Here is a 16,401-nt window from a genome sequence, read left to right as displayed (position 1 = left end):
CTGGCAGAAGAAATTTCTAAGCAGCAAAGCTTTCAAGAAGTGACTTGGGTGCTCTTAAAAGCATTCACTTTTACAGGGGAAGCAGAGCATAAAAGTTCAGAAAATTTGCATCCTGACAATGCAATAGAAAAGAAAATCCCATTTTCTGAGGAGAAATTCAAGCCAGCTACAGAAATTTACATAAGTAACGAAGAGTGGAATGTTAATCCCCAAGACAGAGGGGGAAAATGTCTCCAAGGTATGTCAGAGGTCTTCACAGCAGCCTCTCCCATCACAGGCCCAGAGGCCTTGAAAGAAAAAGTGGTTTTGTGGGCTGGGCCCAGCATCCCCTTGCTGTGTGCAGCCTAGGGACTTGGTGCTCTGCATCCCAGCCACTCCAGCTGTGATTAAAATGAGCCAAGGTACAGCTCAGGCCATGGTTTCAGAGGGTGCAAGCCCCAAGCCTTGGAAGCTTCCACATGATGTTAAGCCTGTGAGTGCACAGAAGTCAAGAACTAGGGTTTGCGAACCACCGCCTAGATTTCAGAGGATGTATGGAAATGCCTGGATGGGCAGGAAGAAATTTGCTGCAGGGGCGGGGCCCTCATGGAGAACCTCTGCTAGGGCAGTGTGGAAGGGAAATGTGGGGTGGGAGCCCCCACAAAGGGTCCCCACTGGGGTGCTGCCTAGCGGAGCTGTGAGAAGGTGGTCACCGTCCTCCATACCCCAGAATAGTAGATCCTCCCACAGTTTGCATCGTTCTCCTGGAAAAGCTGCAGACACTCATCACCAGCCCATGAAAGCACACCGGAGGGAGGCTAGGTACCCTGCAAAGCCACAGGGGTGGAGTTGCCCAAGACCATGGGAACCCACTTCTTGCAGCAGTGTGACCTGGACGTGAGACATGGAGTCAAAGGAGATCATTGTGGAGCTTTAAGACTTGACCACCCCGCTGGATTTCAGACTTGCATGGGGCCTGTAGCCCCTTCATTTTGGCCAATTTCTCCCATTTGAAATGGCTGTATTTACCCAATGCCTGTGCCCCCATTGAATCCAGGAAGTAACTAACTTGCTTTTGATTTTACAAGCTAATCGGCGGAGGAAACTTGCCTTGTCTCAGATGAGACTTTGGACTGTGGACTTTTGAGTTAATGTCAAAATGAGTTAAGACTTTGGGGTCGGGTGCAGCGACTCACGTTTGTAATCTAAACACTTTGGGAGGCTGAGCGGGGGCAGATCACTTGAGATTAGGAGTTCAAGACCAGCCTGGTCAACGTGGCGAAACCCCATTTCTACAAAAACTACAAAAATTACTCACTGCAACCTCCACCTCCTGGGTTCAAGCAATTCTCCTGTCTCAGCCTCCCATGTAGCTGGGATTACAGGTGCACGCCACTATGCCCAGCTAATTTTTGTATTTTTAGTAGAGATGGGGGTTTCACCATATTGGTCAGGCTGGTCCTGAACTCCTGACCTCAGGTGATCTACCCGCCTCAGCCCCCCAAAGTGCTGGGATTACAGGCGTGAGTCACTTGGGTATGTCAGCCATGTGAGAACAGACTAGTACAGTAGAGATGGAGGTCCTGCTACATTTCCCAGGCTGATCTCAAACTCCTGGCCTCATGCAATCGTCCCACCTTGACATCCTAAAGCACTGGATTACAGGTATTAGCTACAGCGCCCAGCCACATATAACTTTTGAAGACAGTATTTTGACATAAAGAGTTGAGAAAAAAATCTTGACCTGGCTAGGCACAGTGGCTCATGCCTGCAATCCCAGCAATTTGGGAGGCTGAAGTGGGAGGATCATTTGACCCCAGGAGTTTGAGACCAGCCTGGGCAACAAAGTGAGACCTAGCCCCTACAAAAAAATTTAAAATTAGCTGGGTGTTGTGGCACATGCCTGTGATCCCAGCTACACAGGAGGCTGAGGCAAGAGGATTGTTTGAGCCGTAAGTGCCACTGCATTATAGCCTGTGAAACAGCAAGGCCCCATGTCAAAAACAAACACACACACATAAAATGAATTTGTTGATTTTCTTCACTCAGGTCTTGCACACTTTTTTGCTTGGATTATTCATAACTATTTTACTGTTTTGTGGCTAAAGGGAAAGGAGTTCTTGTGTTTGTTAAAAAATTACTACTGGTGGCCAGGCGCGATGGCTTACACCTATAATCCCAGCACTTTGGGAGGCCGAGGCAGGTGGATCACTTGAGATCAGGAGCTCAAGACTAGCCTGGCCAACATGGTGAAACCCTGTCTCTACTAAAAATACAAAAAAAATTAGCCGGGCATGGTGGCAGGCACCTGTAATCCCAGCTACTCGGGAGGCTGAGGCAGGAGAATCATTTGAACCCAGGAGGTGGAGGTTGCAGTGAGCCAAGATCGTGCCATTGCACTCCAGCCTGGGGGATAAGAGCGAGACTTCATCTCAAAAAAAAAAAACAAAAATTACTACTGGTATATTAATAACTTATGACAGGGTCTCAAACATCGTTTTAAATGCTGGGAATTAAAGCAATGAAAATACCAAATACTTGTCTTTATGGAGCTTATATTACGGTTGGAAAATAATTAGTAAACTTATATTTTCAAAAACATAGATGCTGTGTGGCCGGGCATGGTGGCTCACACCTGTAATCCCAGCACTTTGGGAGACCGAGAAGGGTGGATCAACCAAGGTCAGGTGTTCGGGACCAACATGACCAACATGGTGAAACCCCATCTCTACTAAAAATACAAAAATTAGCTGGCCGTAGTGGCTCACGCCTGTAATCCCAGCTACTCTGGAGTCTGAGGCACGAGAATCACCAGGAGGCGGAGGCTGCAGTGAGCTGAGATCGTGCCACTACACTCCAGCCTAGGTGACTGAGCAAGACTTGGTCTCAAAAAAAAAAAACCATAGGTGCTATGAAGAAAAGTAAATCAAAACAGAGAGAAAGTGGAAGGGAGGGGCCTATTTTTATGGTGTCACCAGGGAATACCTCTCTGAAGAAGTAAATAAGTAAGATCTAGCCAGGCGCAGAGGCACACACCTGTAATCCCAGCATTTAGGGAAGCTGAGGCGGGCAGATCATCTGAGGTCGGGAGTTCGAGACCAGCCTGACCAATATGGAGAAACCCCATCTTTACTAAAAATACAAAAATTAGCCAGGCGAGGCGGCGCATGCCTGTAATCCCAGCTACTCAGGTGGCTGAGGCAGGAGAATCGCTTGAACCCAGGAGGCGGAGGTTGCGGTGAGCCAAGATCGTGCCATTGTACTCCAGCCTGGGCAACAAGAGTAAGACTCCATCTCAAAATAAAAAAAAAAGAAGTAAGATCTAAGCAGGGGCCTAAGTGGCATGAAGGAGCAAGCAAATCATATGACAATAAAGGAAGAACATTCCAGGCAGGAAAAAAGTCAATTAATAAAAGCCTTAAAGCAGTAAGTAACTTGGTCTTTGAGGAACAGCAAGGCCAGTGGCTCTTGAGCTTAGAGTAGTAGGAGATGAGGTCAGTGAAGGAGAAAAGAAGTAAGGCCTTTTAGGCTAAGACTAGGTCTTTGGATTTTTTTCTAAATATGATGAAAAACTATGAGGGGCCTTCAAATGAGAGTGACATGTTACCATTTATGTTTTTCATTTTAGCTGTTGTGAGAACAAACTAGAAGGAGAAAAGAATGGAAGCAAGGGAGAGCAGATAGAAGGCAATTAAAATAACCCAGAAAAGAGATAATAAAAATGGCTTATATTAGGGCAAAGGAGTGGGAGCAGCAAGAAATTATAATATTGGGGATATAGTTTGAAGGTAAAGCTGCTGCTGGTGGATTGGAAGTAAAAGGGGAAAAAAGAGAAAGCAAGTATGATTTCCAGCTTGTGGCTTAAGTGGGTAAACGATAGTACCATTTACTGAGAGAGTAAAGTCTGAGAAAAGGGTAGGTTTGAGGAAATAAACCAATAATTCTTTTTTGGACAAGTTAAAATTGACATGCCTACTAAAATATTCAAGAGATGTAGAAAAGGCAGTCCTGGCAGGGCACAGTGGCTTACACCTATAAACCTAGTCCTTTGGGAGGCCAAGGTGGGAGGATGCCTGAGGCCAGGTGTTCGAGACCAGCCTGGGCAACACAGCAAGACCCAGTCTCAATAACTACAATAAAATTAGCCAGGTGTGGTAGTATGCACCTAAAGTCCTAGCTACTCAGGAGGCTGAGGCAGGAGGATTACTTGAGACCAGGAATTCAAGGTTACAATGAGCTATAATTGCATCACTGTATTTCGGCCTGGGTGACAGAATGAGACCCTGTCTTGAAAAACGAAAAAGCAGTCCATTATAGTGTGGAGTTCAATGAAGATGTCAAGGCATGTCAAGGCCTGAGTCAAGAGCAAATTAATAATGCTTACAGCCATAGCATTAGATAAGATACTCAAAGAATTGTCAAATACTAACTGACGAATACTGATAAAGAAAAGTTACAAAGCCTAAGTCTAGGTGTGATACAACAAACTTCAGGTGAGGAAAGAGAAGCTAGAAAATAAGACCGAGAAGGAGCTGCCATAAATTAGGAAAGAATAAAGATAATATATGGCATCCAGAAAACCAAGTAAAGTTTTTATAAAACAGGAACTGATCAATCACTTGTGTCAAATGCTGATGACAGGCAGAGTAATTTACGGATTGAGAACACTGACAAGAGTGATTTCAGTTGGTGGGAGTGCAAAAGAGCCAGCCTGGAAAGAGTTGGGGAAAAAATGGAATCTTAGAGGGTAGAGATACTGAGAATGAGCAATTCTTTCTGACAAATTTTGCTATAAATGAGAAGGAAAGGTGTGTGTGAGAAATGAGCTGTTTTTGTTTTTTTCCTTTTGCCATCCCTATTGAAGTTAGAGAATTAAGAGTTATAGCATGTTCATATGCTAAGAAAAATGATTCGCCAGGAAAAATAATACAGGGGATGTGCAGGTCTAGATAAAATAAAAATAAAACAAACAAACAAAAACAAAAATATCGAAGATAACCCAGAAGCAAAATCCTTAAATACACAAGAAGTCACAACATAGATGAACATAGATGAGTTGGCTTAAAAAAAAAAAAGTGGTCTGCAAGTAGGAATCATTTTCGCTGCAGAGAATAAAAACACTATGTGCAATACTTAAATCAATAAATAAACAAACAAACATGCCCAGTGCAGTGGCTCACACCTGCAATCCCAACACTTTGGGAAGCCAAGGTGGGAGGATTGCTTGACATAGCGAGACCTCATCTCTATTATAAAAAATAATAATAATTTTCTAAAAAACAGCTAAGAGTCTAGAAGGAAAGAGATTACATAGTCTTCTTAGCAAACAAAGTAGAAGGACAAGCAGACACAGCAATGGTGTAGGCACAATAGATATGTGTGGTCATAAATTTAAAGTGAGACGAGCTAGCGTATTTGTTTTCTCCAGCCACACTCCACTGCTCAGGTTCAAGGAATTACAGAGTTGACAAAGAACTGAGTGTAATCGGGGTTGAAGTTTTGCCTTGATTACAATGAAGGAAGAGAAGAACAAGAGTTTTATCACTCAACACCACAGAATGGTACATACAGAACACTAATACTTACTGAAATTTTTATTAAATGAATCAATATAATTGGATAAGTTAAGAAGAGAATATATGAGGAGAATGATGGACAGTGAAAAAATGGCGTAGCTACTGGCCTGGAGGTCTTGATGGAATCCAAGAAATGTCCAGTGAGAGAACTGAAAAAATAAAAAAAAAATTGGATTCCAAGAAATATCAAAATAGGGTACTGGAGTATGTGAGTTAGTAGAAAAGGAAGTGGAGGTCAGAGTTAGATGCTTACAATTTTTTTTTTTTTTTTTGAGACGGAGTCTCGCTCTGTCGTCCAGGCTGGAGTGCAATGGCATGATCTCTGCTCACCGCAACCTCCACCTCCTGGGTTCAAGCGATTCTCCCGCCTCAGCCTTCTGAGTAGCTGGGATTACAAGCACATGCCACCACGCCTGGCTAGTTTTTTGTATTTTTAGTAGAGACGGGGTTTCACCACGTTGGCCAGGCTAATCTCGAACCCCTGACTTCGTGATCCACCCGCCTCGGCCTTCCAAAGTGCTGGGATTACAGGAGTGAGCCACCGCGCCCGGCCCAATGCTTACAATTTTTTAAGTTACAGATCATGGTGATAAAGTCTAGGGTAATGGTTCTCCGTCCTGACTATACATTGGAGCCACCTGGAACACATTTTTTTTTTTTTGAGACTGAGTCTTACTCTGTCGCCCAGGCAGGAGTGCAGTAGCGCCATCTTGGCTCACTGCAAGCTCCGCCTCCCGGGTTCACACCATTCTCCTGCCTCAGCCTCCCGAGTAGCTGGGACTACAGGTGCCTCCCACCATGCCCAGCTAATTTTTGTGTTTTTAGTAGAGGCGGGGTTTCACCTTGTTAGCCAGGATGGTCTCGATCTCCTGACCTCGTGATCTGCCCGCCTCGGCCTCCCAAAGTGCTGGGATTACAGGCGTGAGCCACCGCACCTGGCCCTGGAACACTTTTTTAAAAAAATCAGACCAATAAAATATGAATTTCTGAAGGTGGCCCACTACTATCAATATTTTTTAAGCTGCCCATTTAGAATATACAGCCAGAATTGAGAACTACTAGTCTAGGGTGTGATTATGCATGCAGACAGCTAAGGTAGGTTAGAAAAGAAACCTGCGATCTGCAAACTGAAGAACTTCTAATAAAGTTTTTTTCTATTATTCTTGATATGAATAAAAACATGAGCTGTGCTCAAAGTATTTCACATCTAGTAATTCATTTCATATTCATAACAACCCAGTAAGGGAGGTCTAGCATTATCCCTTTGTGAGGAAAATTAGACACAGATGGGGAGAACGAAACTGTACTGAATTAAGAGTCCCAGGTTATACATAAAGTTAAAGGTGTATATTATAAACCCTAAGGCAACTACTTTTTTTTTTTTTTTTGAGGTGGGGTCTCGCTCTGTCACCCAGGCTGGAGTGCAGTGGCACGATCTCCGCTCACTGCAACCTCCACCTCCCGGGTTCAAGCGATTCTCCTGCCTCAGCCTCCCAAGTAGCTGAGACTACAGTCACGTGCAACCACGCCCGGCTAATTTTTTGTATTTTTAGGACAGATGGGGTTTCACTGTGTTAGCCAGGATGGTCTCGATCTCTTGACCTCATGCTCCTCCCGCCTCAGCCTCCCAAAGTGCTGGGATTACAGGTGTGAGCCACCACGCCCGGCCAAGGCAACTACTTTTAAAAATCAAGACATATAGCTAATCAGCCAATGTGAAGATAAATGGAATACTAAAATATACTCAAGTAATCCAAAAAGGAACAAACAAGAGATAGGACAAATTAAAAACAAGCAGGCCAGGCGAGAAGGCTCACGCCTGTAATCCCAGCACTTTGGGAGGCCAAGGTGGGTGGATGACCTGAGGTCAGTAGTTCAAGACCAGCCTGGCTAACATGGCAAAATCCCATCTCTACTCAAAATACAAAATTTAGCCAGGTGTGATGGTGTGCACCTGTAATCCCAGCTACTCAGGAGGCTGAGGCAGGAGAATCGCTTAAACCCGGGAGGCGGAGGCGGCAGTGAGCCGAGATTGCGCCACTGCACTTCAGCCTGGGCGGCAGAGTAAGACTCCATCTCAAAAAAAGAAGAAAAAAGACCAGCCTGGACAACACAGTAAGACCCTGACTATACAAAAAAATTTTTAAAAATTACCCAGATGTGGTGGTGCAAACCCACAGTCCCAGCTACTCAGGAGGCTAAGGCAGGAAGATAATTGAGCCTGGAAGGTCGAGGCTGCAGTGAGCGACGACTGTGCCACTGTACTCCAGTCTGGGTGACAGAGCTAGACTTCGTCTCAAAAACAAACAAAAAAATCTGTATGTAAATATTCATAGCAGCACTACTCAGAATAGCCAAAAGGTAGAAGCAATGTAAATGCCTATCAAGTCATGATAAACAAAATGTGGTGTTTCTATAGAACGTAGTATTATTCAGCCATAAAAAGGAATGAAGTACTACTGGACCTAGAAAGCATTATGCTAAGTCGAAGAAGCTGGACACAAAAGGTCACACATTGCCTAAGTCCACTTGTAGGAATATCCACAATAGGCAAATCCACAGAGAGAGAAAACAGATTACTGGGCAGCAGGGACTAGGAGACTGGGAATGGGGAGAGACTGCTTAACGGGTACAGCGTTTCCTTTTAGGATGATGAAAACGTTTGGGAACATTTAGTTTGTGGTAATACTTGCATGACATTGTGAATGTGCCGAACACCACTGAATTACATATTTTAAGTGGTTAAAATGGCAAATTTCATGTTATGTTAATTTTGTCAGAATTTTTTAAAAAAGGAATGAAGGAGTGATACATACTACAACATAGGTGAACCTGAAAAACACTATCCTAAATGAAAGAAGCCAGTTACAAAAGATCACATATTGTATGACTTCATTTCTATGAAATGTCCAAAATAGGTAAATCTATAAAGTCAGAAAATAAATTAGTGGTTATCTAGGGCTAGGGGTCCAGGAGAGAGGGATTGGAGAGTGACTGCTAATGTATACAATGGTTCTTTCTGGGGTGATTAAAATCCTTTAAAATTAGATTATGCTAATGATTGCAAAACTGTAAATCTACTGGAAAACATCAAGATACCCCCCTTTAAATTGGTGAATTTTATGGTGTGTAAATTATATCTCAATAAAGCTAACTTTAAAAAGGAAAAACTTAGGCCAGGCATGGTGGCTTACACCTGTAATCCCAGCACTTTGGGAAGCTGAGGCAGGTGGATCATGAGGTCAGGAGATCGAGACTAGCCTAGCCAACATGGTGAAACCCCATCTCTACTAAAAATACAAAAAATGGCCGGGCATGGTGGCATGCGCCTATAGTCCCAGCTACTCAGAAGGCTGAGGCAGGACAATCACTTCAACCCAGGAGGCAGAGGTTGCAGTGAGCCGAGATCTCGCCATTGCACTCCAGCCTGGTTAACAAATGGAGACTCCGTCTCAAAAACAAAAAAAAAAAAAGAAAGAAATAGCAATGAGATACCAATCCACACCTATTAGAATAGCTACAATCAAAAAAACTGACAATACCAAATACGAATGAAAATGCGAACAGGAACTCTAACATTCACTGCTGATGGAAATACAAAATAAAACAGCCCTTTTGGAAGGCAGTTTGGCAGTTTCTTACAAAGCTAAATACAGGCCTACCATATGATCCAGCAATCACATTGCTGAGGTATTTGATTATCCAAATTGATTTAAAAACTTATAGTTACACAAAACCTGCACACAATGATTATAAGCAGCTTTATTCGTAATCACCAAAACCTGGAACCAAGGATGTCCTTTGACAGGTGAATGGATAAACAAACTGGAATATATCCATACAATGGATTATTTAGCAATAAAAATAAATGAGCTAGCAAACCACAAAATGATGTAAAGGACCCTTAAATGTATATTGCTAAGTGAAAGAAGCTAGTCCAGAAAGGCTACATACTATATGATTTCAATTATAAGACATCCCAGAAAAGGCAAAACTATAGAAATAGTACAAAACAGTAGTTGCCAAGGGCTTGGGGAAAGGCAGAAAGGGCTTAAGAGCTGAAATAGAATAATCTCATGGAGGTGAAACTATTTCTCACAATAATTTAACGGTGGATACATGTTGCCCAGGCTGGTCTCAAACTCCTGGGCTCAAGCAATCCGCCCATCTCAGATTCCCAAAGCAGTGGGATTACAAGCATGAGCCACCACACCCAACCTATGTCATACTTTTAAACATCATTTGAGTGCACTCCTTCTACTTACTTTTTTTTTTTAAGATGAGGTCTTACTGTGTTGCCCAGGCTGGTCCCAATCTCCTGAGCTCAAGCGATCGTCCCACCTCAGCCTCCCAATGTGCTTAGATTACAGGCGAGAGTCACCGTTCTACTTATGTTTTTTAAAAGCTACCTAAAAACAGCCTCAGGCAGTTTCCTTCAGGAGGTAGTCCAGACAGATCCACGTGAGTATTGCCCCTGAAGACCTTCCAGTAGGACAAGACGTGAAGGTAGAAGACACTGATATTGATAATCCTGACCTTGTGTGGGCCCTAGACTAATGTGTGCGCTTATGTTTTCATTTCCGACAAAAAAGTTTAAAAAGTAAAAAAAAAAAGAAAAACGAAAAAAAAAGGCCAGATGCAGTGGCACGCAACTCAGGAGGCTGAGGCCAGAGAATCACTTGAGCCCAGGAGTTGGAGGCCAGCCTAAGCAACATAGCGAGACTCTATCTCTAAAAAAAAAATTCATTTTTTAAATAGAAAAAAGCTTACAGAATAAGGATTTAAAGAATAATATTTCTGTACACCTGTAAAATGCGTTTGTATTTAAGTGTTGTTACGAGAGTCAAAAAACAACAAACATTTTAAAGCTTCTAAAGTCAAAAGGTTACAATAAGCTAATTTACTATTGATCAAAGAAAAAAATTTGATGAATTTAGTGTAGCCTAACTGTACATTGTTCATAAAGTGTACAGTAGGGCACAGTAATATCCTAGGCCTTCACATTCATTCACCACCCCTCATTCAGTGACTCGCCCAGAGCAACTTCCACTCCTGCAAGGTCCTCTCGTGGTAAGTGCCCTATTATAGGTGTACCACGTTTATCTTTCATATCTGTCCTGTTCTGTGTTCCGTTCTGTTCTGCGTTCCATTCTGTTCTGTGTTCTGTTGTGTTCTGTCACTCTGTCGCCTAGGCTGGAGTGCAGTGGCGTGATCTCGGCTCACTGCAACCTCTGCCTCCTGGGTTCAATTCTCCTACTTCAGCCTCCCAAATAGCTTGGATTACAGGCGTCCACCACCATACCAGGCTAATTTTTGAGTTTTTAGTAGAGACACAGTTTCACCATGTTGGCCAGGCAGGCCTCAAATTCCTGACCTCAAGTGATCTGCCTGCCTCAGCCTCCCAAAGTGCTGGGATTACAGGTGTGAGCAACCATGCCTGGCCTTTTTTTTTTTTGTTTTTTGAGATGAAATCTCACTCTGTTGCCCAAGCTGGAGTGAAGTGGCATGATCTCGGCTCACTGCAACCTCCGTGTCCCAGGTTCAAGTGATTCTCCTGCCTCAGCCTCGCAAGTAGCTGGGACTACAGGCACACACCACTATGCCAGGCTAATTTTTGTATTTTTAGTAGAGATGGGGTTTCACTATGTTGACCAGGCTGGTCTCGAACTCCTGACCTCGTGATCCACCCACTTCAGCCTCCCAGAGTGCTGGGATTACAAGTGTGAGCCACTGTGCCTGGTTCCCGGCCCTTTTATACCGTATTTTTATTGTATCTTTTCTATGTTTAGATACACAAATATTCACCATTATGCTATAGCTGCCTAGAGTATCAGTACAGTAATATGCTGTACAGGTTTGTAGCCTAGAAGCAATAGGCTATAGGCTATAGCCTACAAGAGTAGCATGCTACACCATCTAGGATCATGTAAGTACACTATATGATGCTTGCACAATAAAGAAATTGCCCAATGATGCATTCCTCAGAATGTATCCCCCTAGTTAAATTACTTATGACTGTGTACATCTAACAAGAGAGTATCAAAGTGCATGCAGCAAAAACTGACATACCTGAAAGGAGAAATAAACAGCTCCACAATCACAGGGAGTTCAACACTCCTCACTGATGCAATAATTCACAGAACAAGTAAACAGAAAATTATTAAAAATATGTAAGATCTGAAGAACATTATCAACCAACTTGACATAATTGTTATTTATAGAACACTGCACCCAACAACAGCAAGATAAACCATCTTTTCAAGCACACATAGAACATTCACCAAGATAAACCATATGCTGGACCGTAAAACAAGCATGGAAATATTTTAAAGAATATAAATTGGCTGGGCACGGTGGCTCACGCCTGTAATCACAGTACTTTGGGAGGCCAAGGCAGGCGTACACCTCAGGTCAAGAGTTCAAGACTAGCCTGGCCAACACGATGAAACCCCATCTCTACTAAAAACACAAAAATTAGCCGGGCATGGTGGTGTGCGCTTGTAATCCCAGCTACTCGGGAGGCTGAGACAGGAGAACTGCTTGAATCTGGGAGGTGGAGGTTGCAGTGAGTAACTTTTGTATTTTTAGTAGAGATGGGGAGTGCCACTGCACTCCAGCCTGGGTGACACAGCGAGACTCCATCTTAAAAAAAAAAAAGAATATAAATTATGCAGCATGTTCTCTGACTACAATGGAATTAAACTTGAGATCATTAACATAAAGATACTATATAAAATTCTCCAGTATTTAGAAATTAAATAATAGTCTCCTAAATAACCCCTGATCAAAAAAGAAACTGCAAAAGAAATTAAACAATATTTTGAACTGAATGAAAAGAAGAAATCAATTTATGAGATGTGGCTAAAACAGTATTTAGAAGGAAATTCATAGCTTTAAGCACCTGTATTAGAAAATAAGAGAGTTCTAAAATTAAAGACATAAATGTCCACCTCAAGACGCTCGGGGAAAAAAAGCAGACTAAATCAAGGGGAAGTAGAGGGAAAAAACATAAAATGCAGAAATCAATAAAATTTAAAATAAACAAGAAACAATAAATATCAGTATCTGTAGATTAAGAAAAAAGCAAGAGGCTGGAATTACCAATATGAGCAATGATAGAAGGCATATCGTTACAGGTCCTCTAGACATTAAAAAAAGAACAAAGGAATATTATAGGCTAGGCAAGGTGGCTCCTGCCTGCAATCCCAGCACTTTGGGAGGCCGAGGTGGGTGGATCACCTGAGGTCAAGAGTTCGAGACCAGCCTGACCAACATAGTGAAACCCCATCTCCACTAAAAATATAAAATTAGATGGACGTGGTGGCACATGCCTGTAATCCCGACTACTTAGGAGGCTGAGGCAGGAGAATCACTTGAACCCGGGGTACGGGGGTTGCAGTGAGCCGAGATCACATCATTGCACTCCAGCCTGGGCCACAAGAGCGAAATTCTGTCTCAAAAAAAAAGGGGCAGGGGAAGGGAGGGGAGGGGAGGAGAGGGGGGAGGGGAGGAGAGGAGGGGGAGGGGAGGGGAGGAGGGGGAGGGGAGGAGAGGGGGAGGGGAGGGCAGGGGAGGGGAGGGGAGGAGAGGGGGGAGGGGAGGGCAGGGGAAGGGAGAGTAGGGGAGGGGAGGGGAGGAGAAGGGGGAGGGGAGGGGAGAGGGAGGGGAGGGGAGGGGAAGGAAAGAGAAAACCTAACTAGTTCCTATATCTCTAAGGACTGCTAGCAACCACTAGAAATAGGAAGAGGCTGGGCGCAGTGGCTCACATCTGTAATCTCAGCACTTTGGGAGGCCAAGGCCGGCAGATCACCTGAGATCAGGAGTTCGAGACCAGCCTGACCAACATGGAGAAACACTGTCTCTACTAAAAATACAATATTAGCCGGGCATGGTGGTGCATGCCTGTAATCCCAGCTACTCGGCAGGCTGAGGCAGGAGAATCGCTTGAATCCAGGAGGCACAGGTTGCGGTGAGCTGAGATCACGCCATTGCACTCCAGCCTGGGCAACACGAGTGAAACTCTATCTCAAAAAAAAAAAAAAAAGAAAGAAAGAAACAGAGGAAGAGTCAAGGAGGGGTCTTCCCTAGAGCCTACAGTGGGAGCACAGCTCTCCTGACACCCTGACCTCATATTTCTACTTTCCAGAACTGTCAGAAAATAAATTTAAGCTGTTAGAAACCACCCACTTTGCAGTAATTTACTCTGGCAGCCCTAGGAAATTACTACACATATTGAATAATATTTTGGATGTAGTGAAATTAAAAATACATTAAATTTAATTTCACTTATCGCTACTTTTTTAGTGTGGGGGTATATAAAATTTAAATTACATATTTGGTTTATATTATATTTCTAGAGGATAGCATTAATCTAGCCAGCGGCAATAGGCAGGAAAAAAAGGCATACAGATTGGAAATGAGTAAGTACAACTGGATTTCTCTGCAGAAATGATTGTGTATAAAGAAAATCCTGGCTGGGTGCGATGGCTACGCCTGTAATCCCAGCACTTTGGGAGGTCGAGGCGGGCGGATCACAAAGTGAGGAGATCGTAACCATCCTGGCTAACACATTGAAACCCTGTCTCTACTAAAAACACACACACACAAAATTAGCCAGGCGTGGTGGCACAAGCCTGTGGTCCCAGCTACTCGGGAGACTGAGGCAGAAGAATCGCTTGAACTCGGGATGCGGAGGTTGCAGTGAGCCGAGATCACGCCACTACACTCCAGCCTGGGTGATAGAGCGAGACTCTGCCTCAAAAACAAAAAAACACAAACAAAAAACAAAATCCTGAATCTAAAAGCTGTCGGCCGGGCGTGGTGGCTCACGCCTGTAATCCCAGCACTCTGGAAGGCCAAGGTGGGCGGATCACCTGAGGTCAGGAGTTCAAGACCAGCCTGGCCATGGTGAAACCCCATCTCTACTAAAAATACAAAAAATTAGCCGGGCGTGGTGGTGCGCGCCTGTAATCCCAGCTACTCAGGAAGCTGAGGCAGGAGAATCGCTTGAACCGAGGAGGTGGAGGCTGCAGTGAGCCGAGATCGTGCCATTGCACTCCAGCCCGGGCAACAAGAGCAAAACTCCGTCTCCAAAAAAAAAAGTCAAATCGCCTATAATTGCCCAAATAATAAGAGGAACAAATGTGAAAAAGGAAGAAAAAGAAAGAAATTCTACATATTAAAACAGCAAGATGCTGGAATAGATAGTAACTCATCTCCCTAACTAGACAATGTGACTGGGGACCAGAAATGATCTTTTAGAAAAAGTAGCATGCAAATGGAATAGTATATATGCAAACGCTCTGAGGGAAAAAATTTGAAAGTAGACTGGTGTGGCAGGTACACAGTGGGCAAGAAGATAAGGCTAAAGCGACATGGCCTGTGGGCCACAGGAAATGTTTGTATTATGTAACAGTTCTCAAGTCTATCCATTATTTTCTACCCCTACCATGCTGTTCTCAATACATGCCTAGGTGCCTTCAAGATGTTCTGGATGATGAACCTGCGGTCTCACTCAAACTGCTCTCCCAATCCCTCCCTCTTAATGGAGCCAAAATATTTAACAGCTTAAATCTTCCAATAGCTCCCTGTTCTCTACAATATAGTCTTAATTTCTTACTTGACTGTAAGACCCTTCATGACACAGCCTCTACTTACTCTCCAGCTTCATACCCACTCCCTCTAAATTACTTGCATATTAATAAACTTCATCACATTTTTTCATTACTTCACGCCTTTTTACAGCAAGTTGTAAGTTTTTAATCAGATGTCTTATTCTATGTAAACCTTCTCTAATCCACACTACACAAGTGTTTCCCTCTGCTCCTGCAGCATATTTTGCTCCATTCTATATTTGTTGTGTTGTAGTTACGGTGCTTATTTATAGGGCTGTTTAACCTATTAGACCTTACTAGTCACCTTTTTATATTATTCTTATTATTATTCCTAGCAGATAGAAAAGGGCCTCTTTAATAGATCCTCTTTCCATAATTTAAAAAAAGATTTATAACATTTATGCTTTTAAGATCTAAGAATCCCTAAATTAAGAGATAATTGAACTGCATATACACAATAAAAAACTAGATTATCAGATGAGAATATCTCCTGGCTAATAAAATGAAAAAAAAAAGAAATAAAAACATAACAAAGAAAAAACTCAATTCGAGAACAACCTTTAAATATTACAAAAACAAATTAAAATATTACAAAGATATATAAGATGACTCTTCTGGCCAGGCGCAGTGGCTCACACCTGTAATCCCAGCACTTTGGAAGGCCAAGGCGGGCGGATCACAAGGTCAAAAGATCGAGACCACGGTGAAACCCCATCTCTACTAAAAATACGAAAAATCAGCCAGGCGTGGTGGCGGGCACCTAAAGTCCCAGCTATTTGGGAGGCTGAGGCAGGAGAATGGCATGAACCCGGGAGGAGGAGCTTGCAGTGAGCTGAGATCACGCCACTGCACTCCAGCCTGGGTGACAGAGCGAGACTCCGTCTCAAAAAAAAAAAAAAAAAAAGATGACTCTTCTGTAAACCAACAGATAATAAATCTGGATTGGTAGATAATTAGGTTTGAATGAAACAAAGAACACTTCAAAACATTTAAGCCCCACAATATTACTTAAGTATAAGAGTATAAGAATTACATTACTTCTTATATCATAAGTTAATGTACACAAACTAGTAGCAAGTTATTAACAGAATTATGAATTTATATTTTGATTTTCACTCAATGAATGCAAGTGATACATGCACATCTACAGCCTTTCACCTTGTTTCAATTCAGTTCTCAATTAAATACTATATTGTAGCAGCCCTAATGATCCACTGCAAAGAAAGTAATTC

The 16,401-nt window shown here is 43.0% G+C and overlaps 1 protein-coding gene across 39 annotated transcripts in view, besides 1 other annotated feature; it reads right to left on the bottom strand.

The window, feature by feature from the left end:
* DENND4C (DENN domain containing 4C) overlaps window positions 1-16,401 on the bottom strand; it is a 143,769-nt gene that overhangs the window by 122,599 nt on the left and 4,769 nt on the right. The gene's annotated exons all lie outside the window — the stretch shown is intronic.
* Window positions 64-928: an enhancer, noted in NCBI's record as "H3K27ac-H3K4me1 hESC enhancer chr9:19250753-19251617 (GRCh37/hg19 assembly coordinates)". NCBI's record gives its function as "activates a minimal SCP1, AML or CMV promoter by ChIP-STARR-seq in naive H9 embryonic stem cells {active_cell/tissue: H9 hESC(naive)}" and the evidence as "EXISTENCE:reporter gene assay evidence [ECO:0000049][PMID:30033119]".

The sequence above is a fragment of the Homo sapiens genome, chromosome 9, assembly GCF_000001405.40.
Source record: "Homo sapiens chromosome 9, GRCh38.p14 Primary Assembly".
Classification (NCBI taxonomy): domain Eukaryota; kingdom Metazoa; phylum Chordata; class Mammalia; order Primates; family Hominidae; genus Homo; species Homo sapiens.
Note: the sequence above shows the minus strand (reverse complement) of the source record. Positions and strands in the feature narration are given on the sequence as shown.